The 10,593-nt window shown below is 42.4% G+C and overlaps 1 annotated feature.

Annotated features, from left to right (window-relative positions):
- Nucleotides 748-807: an enhancer, noted in NCBI's record as "active region_16744". NCBI's record gives its function as "activates an Ori minimal core promoter by ATAC-STARR-seq in GM12878 lymphoblastoid cells {active_cell/tissue: GM12878}" and the evidence as "EXISTENCE:reporter gene assay evidence [ECO:0000049][PMID:35858748]".

Below are 10,593 nucleotides of genomic sequence, written 5' to 3'. Positions count from 1 at the left end.
TTGAGACAGAGTCTCGCTCTGTCGCCCAGGCTGGAGTGCAGTGGCGCGATCTGGGCTCACTGCAAGCTCTGCCTCCCGGGTTCACACCATTCTTCTGCCTCAGCCTCCCGAGTAGCTGGGACTACAGGCGCCTGCCAGCACGCCCGGCTAATTTTTTGTATTTTTAGTAGAGACGGGGTTTCATGTGTTAGCCAGAATGGTCAAAATCTCCTGACCTCGTGATCCACCCGCCTCGGCCTCCCAAAGTGCTGGGATTACAGGCGTGAGCCACCACGCCCGGCCACCAATATTCCTTTTTACGTGGTCCCCTTCATCTGCAAAACAGCAGCCGTGCACTGACTTCTCATTCTGCCATGCCTGAGTCCTTCTGCCTTTAAGGACTCAAGTGATGACCCTGGGCCTGCCTGCATGATCCAGGCTAACCTCCCTATCTGAAGGTCAACTGATTGGTAAACTTATGTTCAATATTCCTTATATCCAGACTTTCTCGGGCCCCAGAAGTCTTCTCCAGGCCCACAAAGGCACACACAGTAGTATAAAATATAGCATGGATCAGAGGAGAGCTATTTCCTGCCTAGAATGAACCTCACCACTGCATGTCTGCAGGCTGGTGCTACTGTCTTGAATAGTGATGACCTTCTAAGCATTAGACCTCTGTTTTGAGGACCACTGAGTTCCAACTCGCCTCATCAGATACCCTAGATTCCAGATCCTTGGTGTTGCTGGAACCCTGGCCAGTCCTTGGCCTCTCTAGTTCCTGACTCCTGGCTGGCATGCGGCAGCCAGGACTCCCCTTTGCTCTGTCCCACCTCTTGGGGCTCCCTGGTTCTCCCGAGCCACCTTCCGTCAGTCCTGATCAGCTGCTGCTTCTGCCCCAAAAGTGATGGGCAACCTTCGAGGAGCTAAAGCGCTGTCTACACTCCTGCACTGGGCAGGTGAAGTAAGGGCGACGTGAAATGTCAACTCTGGCTGACCCCAGCTGCCGGCTGAGTGTCAGCTGGTTGTTTGCCCACTAGGTGGCGTCTGTGGAGCCTGAGGAGACAATGAGGGCTTTCCTGTTAAAAACGCACAAAGGAAGCGTTCTTTTGCTTTTCTTTTTCCTGTTTATTCCACTCACCAGCATCACGGCCCCCACTACTCTAAAAGTAACACTAAAACAAGGCGCCTTTCTAAGTCTCCCTCCCAAGGGGATTGCAGCTTCTTTCAGACCCCCCTGACTAGAGTAAGACAAGAAGTCTGTGCTTTCCCCAGTTTGCCATTAGGTTGTAATTGGAGTCCACTGAGCACCAGTTAACTCTCACCTCCTCCCACCCCTTTCTTTCAGCTGATTTTCTCCAAGGCCCACAAGTAAGAAGTTAAGCCATAGATTTCCTTTTCTTTTCTTTCCTTCTTCTTTCTCCCTTTGTCTCTCTCTCCCTCTTTTTTTCTTTCAAGTTTGCTCCATTTTAAATTTACTTTGGAAGGAGGAGCAGTAGGAGAAGAAAATCTCTACTATCAATTAAGCGGGATTTAACACAGGGCCTATGCAGTGCACGAGTGTCTACGCAGGCGGAGGGCATGGTGTGGCCTAAGAAGTGAGAGGTTACAAGGATTTGCTCCATGAAATAAAAACTAAAGCTAATGCCTATCAAATACATTGCCATTTCCAGGGAATGCAAAGCAGTTTGTACTTTAAAAGTGAGTTTTATTTTATTCATTTGTAGAGACAGGGTCTCGCTATATTGCCCAGGCTGGTCTCGAACTCTTGGCTTCAAGTGATCCTCCTGCCCCAGTTTCCCAAAGTGCTGAGACTACAGGTGTGAGCCACAACACACAGAAAAAAGTGAGTTTTTAGATCAGCTTGAAGGGAGGAGAGATTGGAGTTTTGCCTCCGGTCTCCTTTTTCCCATCTTTCCCCAGGCCACATCTGCATGGAAGGAAAAATAGGGTTACAACATTAGTAGTAAAAACCTATTTATTCAGGCTACCCCGTATGCATTATCTGAGGAAACTCCAGGTATGCTTTTCTGGTGATCTATTACATGGCATGGTGACTGACTATAGTTAATAATAATGTATCGCATATTTCTAAATAGCTAAAGGAATGAATTTTAAATGTTTTACCACAAAGAAACAAAAAATATTTGAAGTGATGGATAAGTTAATCAGCCTGATTTGATCATTCCACAATGTACACATGTATCAAAACATCACATTATACCCCATAAATATATATAATTATTATTTGTCAGTTAAGAAGAAAATAAAACTTAAAAAAACCAAAGGCCCAGGTGGGGATGCCGTGCCCTCAGGCACCACGAGAAATTCACCATTTCTTTCAGCCCTGCCGGGAGGCATTCTCCAGCTCTTGCTGTGATGTGCCAAAGGTCCCCCGGGCTGCACAGTGGCCCAACATGGGAGATGCTCTTCTAGGTCTGCAGGCCATGCTCCACTGTTCACTTCACTAACACCATGCCCTGGCATCATGGAGCCATTGCCTTGATTGGACCCCACAGCCTGTCCTTTCACTCCTTCCTTTCAGTGTGTAAGAACATAGAAATCTAGTCGAAGTTCTTTGTCCTTCTCTGCTCATAAAATGGTTGAGTCTACTTTGGGCCCTTTTCTTTGTTTTTGTTCTCTGAAGTTATCTGGGGGAAAATATTCACAATCAAGCTTGTTTTTCCCTAATAGGAAAGAGTAAGGCAGCTTGACTACTATCAGGAGAAAATAAGATCCTTGGTACTGGTCCAGCACGGCGGCCCATGCCTATAATTCCTGCACTTTGGGAGGCCAAGGTGAGAGGATTGCTTGAGCTCAGGGGTTTGGAATCAGCCAGGGCAACACAGCGAAACCCTGTCTCTACAAACAATACAAAAAATTAGCCGGGTGTGGTGGTGTGTGCCTGTAGTCTCAGCTACTCGGGAGGCTGAGCAGAGAGGATCACTTGAGCCCAGGAGGTCAAGGCTGCAATGAACCATAATTGCACCACTGTACTCCAGCCTGTGCAACAGAGTGAGGCCCTGCCTAAAAAAAAAAAAAAAAAAAAAAATACGGCCAGGTGTGGTGGCTCATGTCTGTAATCCCAGCAGTTTGGGAGGCCAAGGCGGGTGGATCACCTGAGGTCAGGAGTTCAAGCAGCCTGGCCAACATAGTGAAACCCTGTCTCTACTAAAAATACAAAAATTAGTCTCCACTAAAAATACAAAAATTAGTCAAAAATTAGCTTGGTGGCATGTGCCTGTAATCCCTGCTACTCAGGAGGCTGAGGCAGGAGAATTGCTTGAACCTGGGAGGTGGAAGTTGCAGTGAGCCGAGATTGAGCCACTGCACTCCAGCCTGGGCAACAGAGCAAGACTCCGTGCCCCTCCACCCCCAAAAAAGAAGATCCCTGGTGCTTATTCTGCCATTATTGTAAATTAGTTGTAAACATTTTTGTACAATCCTAACTGGGTGGGGTAAAACATAAACTGGTTTTATTTGTCTTTGTCTCCTTTCCAGATTATTATCTCTTTCTCATTAGGTAGTGGACCCCTTAGCACCACCACCAGCTTAGATTCCGTAACTTCATGAACACCCTTGATTATTAAAGATGTTCCAGCTTCTCAAAGCTGTCTATTTTCCCATCTTGTCAGGCTTATGGCTCAAAGGAACTGCAGTGGTCAGGACAGGGCTGTGAACTGCTCTGGTCCTCTCCCAACCTCTCCACCTTCCCTCAGAGTGGAAGGGCTATATCACCTCTGGGATGCTGCCTCCTCTTCATCCTCCAGGCTCTAGCTGCAATGGGGTGTTGGACCCCAACTCACAACCCTAGCAAATCTCTTCTCTCTTCTCTGAGAAGGTGGTGGGGTTGTGGGGCTGGTTCGAGGCTATGGCTGGTGTTAGAAGGGCCAGCTCGGCCAGACGTGGTGGCTTACACCTGCAATCCCAGCACTTTGGGAGACCGAGGCAGGCGGATCACCTGAGGTCAGGAGTTCGAGACCAGCCTGACCAACATGGTGAAATCCCGTCTCTACTAAAAATACAAAAACCAGCCGGGCGTGGTGGCATGCGCCTGCAGTCCCAGCTACTCAGGAGGCTGAGGCAGGAGAATCGCTTGAACCCGGGAGGCAGAGATTGCAGTGAGCCGAGATCGCACCACTGTACTCCAGCCTGGGCAACAGAGTGAGACTCCATCTCAAAAAACAAAAAGAAGGGCCAGCTCAACGCCCACCCCACCCCACCCCACCCCACCCCACCCAGTAAGCTGTGAGCGTGGTGAGCATCCCAATGGTCAGCCGCTTTCTTTAGAATGTGGGGTACTTACTGCCTTTTTGTCTCCAGCATTGGATCCTAAGCACCAATTTTGGGGCAAACAGAAAATCCCACTCATTAACCTGCTACAAAGTAGAATGCCATTCCTCATGCCCTCTTCTTTCCCCCGCTGTGTTAGGCCACCAGACCCCACCTCCATCATTGGGGATTACATTTCAACGTGAGATTTGCAGGGAACAAACATCCAAACCATATCACCCACACACAGTTTCTTTGAGGGCTCCCCAGAGGAATACCTGAGACTGCATAATTTATAAAGAAAAGAGGTTTAACTGGCTCACAGTTCTGCAGGCTATACAAGCATGGTGCCAGTATCTGCTCTGCTTCTGGTGAGGCCTCAGGAAGCTTGTACAGCCTGCAGTACTGGTCTGGGGCTTCATGATCTCACCTCAGGAATCTCATCAGCCTGTCTAGGGTCAGGTGTCCATCCGTTTTGCCCAGAGGATTAGAATGCCTTGATTGACCACACTTGAGTTGGGTGACTATCTCTGGAATCAGAAGGTGAGCTCATCCCTTTACTTTCATTGGGAAAGAATGAAGAAAGAATATTTTCTCAAAGAAAAATGAAGGCGATATGACCAGAAGAAGAAACAATAGATGCCTGGCAGGCATAAAACACAAATGTCCATTATGGAGAACGAGGGAACCGGGAATAGGAATTTTGAAGTGGTTTTATTGGAATATTAAAGCAACCTTGCATACCACATTTATTTTAAAGAATTCCACTTTTCAGCCAAAAATATAGTGAGATTTTCTTTATAAATTTGCTTTATATCATTTGCTCAGATTAAAGGATTTAAGATTCTGGCAGGTACATTTTGATGCATGTATCTGGTATCCTTTATGTGTAAGAGATAACAGAGTCATAATGCCTAGAGGCAGAGCCCTGGGGTGTGACTGGAACATTTCCTGTTTAACAAAGTCTGTTTTATCTAAGAGTTACTGTTGCCATCCTCAAAGCAGCAAATCACCTGGATCATTGTGCTTTCAAACCAGCCTCAGAAATGATGCCCACGAAGCAGACAAAGTTAGAGAGCTCCTTCTAGAGAGGGGCTATTAATAGGCTTCAATAAGGAAAAGTTCAAACACATGCAGATCAGGAAAAAAGAAAATGACCCAAATGAAAGGTCTGAGATGTAAGAGGGAATCATGCACAAACGCAGTGGTAAATATGTGGGCACATCAAGCAAAAATCAACCAAACAAAATTATTAATAATGTACAAATTGTGGGGTTAGAAGAGAGACTTAAAATACTGGATAGCATTGGTATGCATATTGGGAAGAGGATCAGAGTAAAATTATTCTTGGATTCTTAAATGACTCATGAGGAGAGTAAAATTATTAACTTTTGAAATGGTAAAATATTTATGCTGTTGTATCTAGGGTAGCCAACGAAAAACAGACATAGAGAGTATAACTTATAAGCAGAGGGGGAAAATCAGAAAAACAAAAGAAACAAAAAGCAAACCTCCATGAATCCAAATTTTTTGACAAGCAGAGAAAAAAGAAGAAGAGAAAAAGTGGAACAAACAGCACAAAATGAGATGATAGAATTAAATCAAAATATATCAGTAATCACAATAAATGAAGTGAATGACTTCCTTCAGTTAAAAGACAAAGAGGGTCAGAAAAAGGCCCAGGCATGGTGGCTCACATCTGTAATCCCAGCACTTTGGGAGGCTGAGGTGGGTGGATTGCTTGAGTTCAGGAGTTTGGAACCCCGTCTCTACAAAAAATACAAAAATTAGCTGGGTGTGGTGGTGCATGCTTGTGGTCCCAATTACTCGGGAGGCTGAGGCAGGAGGATCGCTTGAGCCCAGGATCTGGAGGCTGCAGTGAGCCATGAGAATGGCATTGCCCTCCAGCACGTGACAGAGTGAGACCCTGTCTCAAAAGAAACAAAAAAAAAAAAAAAGAAAAAAGAAAATGATAAAATCTAGCTCTAGGCCATTTATACAACACAAACCTAAATCATAAGGATACAGAAATATCCTTAAAAGAAGGAAATGTATATCAAGCAGAGACTAATCTAAAGAAATGTGGTATAGCTATATTAATATAAGACAAAATAGACTATTAGACAAAAAGGCAAAAAACCCCCACACCCAACACTGGTCACTACACAGTGATAAAAGCTTAAATCACCAGAAAAATATGAAAATGATAAACTTGTTTATACCTAATAATAGAGCAAAAATTATCCAACTACAAGAGAAAATTGATAAATTCACTGTATTTAGAATCAAATGATAACAAAATAATATGTGGAAACCTTGTAGTATATGGTTAAAGGGATGCTTGTAGGGAAATATTTATTCTTAATGCTATCATTAGAAAAGAAGAAAAGCTCAAAATTAATGATCCATGTATACAACCTGAGAAATTAGAAATAGGAACAGCAGGCCTGGCGCGGGGGCTCACGCCTGTAATCCCAGCACTTTGGGAGGCTGAGGCGGGCGGATCACAGGGTCAGGAGATTGAGACCATCCTGGCTAACACGGTGAAACCGCATCTCTACTAAAAATGCAAAAAAAAAAAAAAAAAATTAGCCGGGCCTGGTGGCAGGCGCCTGTAGTCCCAGCTACTCGGGAGGCTGAAGCAGGAGAATGGCGTGAACCCAGGAGGTGGAGGTTGCAGTGAGCTGAGATCGCGCCACCGCACTCCAGCCTGGGAGACAGAGCAAGACTTCGTCTCAGAAAAAACAAAAGAAAAGAAAGAAATAGGAACAGCAGACGAAACTAAAAAAAAAAAAAAAATTTAAGTAGAGGGAAGGAAATAATACATATAGAAAGATAAATTAATGAAGTAAAAAACAACCATATAACTGAGAATATTGACAAACATTTTCTGAAAAGTTTAATGAAACTGACAAACATCTGCTAAGATAAAGCAATAATGAAAGAAGACACAAATTAACACTATTAAGAAAAAATGGGGAATGTAACTACAGATAGAAACAAATTTTAAAAATAAAAGAATATTATAGACAACTTTATGCCAATAAATCTGAAAACTTAAAGTATGTGTAAATTCCTGGAAAAATACAACTTGCAAAAACTGACTCAAGACATGGAAAATTTAGTTTATGAATAATGCCACATTAACACATGAAGAAGAAAGATGATCATCTCAACAAATGCAGAAAAAGTTGATGAAATTAAACATTTATTTACTATAGAAACTAAAAATTAAAAGAAATGTTATTAACCCATTAAAGGGGATCTACAAAAAAACTAAAGGAAATGTGAAACCAAATGGTGACTGGTGAAAGCATTCCCTCTAATATCAGGAATCAGGTAAGGGTGCTTGCTACTAACACTTCTTTTGCATGCTGTACTGGATATCCTGGACTGTTTAGTATATCAAGGAAAAGCAAAATAAAAGACATAAGAATCAGAAATGAATAAGCAAAGTTGCCATTATTCATAGATGGTATATTTGCCTGTTTAGAAAGCATTAAAGAAACAAATTATTTGCGTTTTAGCAAGCTTTCTGGATATAAAATCATCAACCGAAAGGCAATTACATTTCTTTTTTGTTGTTCTTTTTAATTGCTTTCCTTCTTTTTTTAAAAAAATCCTTCATTAGAAGGCAATTATATTTCTATACATCAGCAACAGTTAGAAAATGTAATTTTTAAGAGATGCCATTAAAAATAACAACAATATAAAGCACCTAGGAATAAATCTGTCAAAAGTTTTGCGTGGATGGGGTGCGGTGGCACATGCCTGTAATCTCAGCACTTTGGGAGGCTGAGGCAGGCAGATTTCTTGAGCTCAGGAGTTTGAGACTAGCCTGGGTGACATAGCGAAACACCATCTCCACCAAAATACAAAAAATTAGCTGGGCATGGTGGTGTGTGCCTGTGGTCCCAGCTACTTGGGAGGCTGTGGTGGGATGATCACTTGAGCCCAGGAGGTCGAGGCTGCATTGAGCCGAGATCATGCCACTGTACTCCAGCCTGGGTGACAGAGTGAGACCCCATCTCAAAGAGAAAAAAAGAAAGTTTTCTGTGACTGTTGTGGAACTACTGAAATACATTAAAGATGACCTAGTTAAGTGGAAATACATACTATACTTATGGCTACTATATTCAATATTAAAAAGATGTTAGTGTTCTTCAGTTGATCCACTGATTCAATGAAATTTCAATAAAAATGCCAATAGGAATTTTTTAGAAACTTGATGAATTGGTTCTAAATTTATATGGAAGATTGAGGGGCTATTAATAGCCCTTTCAGTCTCAAAAAAGAACCAAACACAAAAATCAATTCAAGATGGATTGAAGGCTTAAATGTGAAAGGCATAAAACCTTAAAACTTAAAAGCCAATATATGGGAATGTCTTTATGGCTTTGGGATACGGAAGAATTTCTTAAAGAAGACATACAAGAAAAGCAGAAACAATGAAAATAATTGATAAATTTACATTAAATTTAAGAACTTATGTTTTCAGAAAAGACCATTAACTGAGTAAAAAGGGTGGCCCTGAATTAGAAGAAGACATTTGCCAAACATAATTTAAAAGAATTAGGATTTGGAATATATAAAGAATACCTAAAGAATCAAAAGAAAAAGACAAACAATTGAAAATTTGACAAAAGGCATGATTTAGGCATTTCATAGAAGACAGAACATAAACGGTTCATAATAATGTGAAAAGGCGCTCAACCTCATTTGTAATCAGGGAGACACAAATTAAATTTACAATTAGATACTATTTCATACTTGCCAGACTGGCAAAAATCTTAGGCCAACTGATGGTGAAGTTATAGCACAATGTGCACGGCTGCTTGAAATGCAACTTGGTATGACCGCTCTACTCAGTAAAGTTCCATAAATACATTGTGACCCAGCAATTTCACTTCCAGGTATAAACCTTAGAAAAACTTTTGTACATGTACCCCAGAAAACAGGTACTAGAATGCTCATAGCAATGTTATCTCTAAAGGCAAAACTGGAAAAACTCATATATTCACCCCCAATAGAATGGATAAACCTTCTGAAGTATATTCATACACTGTAATAGCATTGCAGCCATAAAAATGAATGAATTACAGCTGCAGCCATTGTCAAAGGTGACTCTCAAAACCATGAGGCTTCTACATGAGACCGTGTTTGCAGGGTGTGCCAATAGGTTGAGTAGGCGCTGAAGTCTATTCCAGCTCCACTGGCACAGGGATGCTTAGCTATCAAGACAGGGGTACCTTTTTTATTTTAAACTGCACGAAGTCTCCCTAGAGGTTAGCTCTGGACAAACAAAATCATAATGTTGACTAGAAAAGTCACAGAAGTATAAAAATTCTGTATTATTCTGTTTACATAAAGTACAAAATCAGGTAAGACTAAACAATAAGGATGCATGAGTATGTGGTAAAACTATATAGAAAAATAAGAGAGTGAGTAACACAAAATTCAGAATAGTGATCACTTCTTAGAGAGTGGGGAGCATCCAATCAGGGAAGGTTCGTGACGGGGTTGGAGAGTGCTAAGGTCATGATAATAATAATGTTCTATATCTTAGGCTAAGTAATGGGTACTCAAGTATAATGTCATCACCCTTTGTCCTATACATGTATGTCTAATAAAGCCCTTCTTGGTCAGGCACAGTGGCTTATGCCTGTAATTCTAGCAGTTTGGGAGGCCGAGGTGAAAGGATCAGTTGAGTTCAGGAGTTTGAGACTAGTCTGGGCAACAGAATGAGACTCCATCTCTACAAAAAAATAAAAAATTAGCTGGGCATGATGGCATGCACCTGCAGTCCCAGTTACTTGGGAGGCTGAGGTGGGAGGATTGCTTAAGCCCAGGAGTTCGAGGTTGCAGTGAGCTGTGATCATGCCACAATACTCTAGCCTGGGTGACAAAGCGGGATCCTGTCTCAAAAAAAAAAAAAAAAAAAAAATCAGTTATTGTAGATTATCTAAGGAGGGTTTTGTTTTTGTTTCTGTTTTTTTTTTTTTGAGATGGTGTCTCACTCTGTTGCTCAGGCTGGAATGCAGTGGCATGATCATGGCTCACTGCAGCCTTGACCTCTTGGGCTCCAGTGATCTTCCCACCTCAGCCTTCTGAGTAGCTGGCATCACAGGGGCTCACCACCACACTCCCAGCTATTTTTTTATTTTTTGTAGAGATGGGATCTCCCAATGTACCCAGGCTGGCCTTGAACTCCTGGGCTCAAGGCAGTCCTTCCAGTTTGGCCTTCCAAAGTGCTGGGATCACAGACGTGAGCCACTGCACCTGGCCAGTAACTGATGTTAAATAAAAGGCATCCTGGCCAAATGTACTACTTGGAGAAGAAAGGAT

The sequence above is a fragment of the Homo sapiens genome, chromosome 2, assembly GCF_000001405.40.
Source record: "Homo sapiens chromosome 2, GRCh38.p14 Primary Assembly".
NCBI lineage: Eukaryota > Metazoa > Chordata > Mammalia > Primates > Hominidae > Homo > Homo sapiens.
The sequence above is the reverse complement of the archived record's forward strand: the minus strand, read 5'-3'. Positions and strand labels throughout refer to the sequence as shown.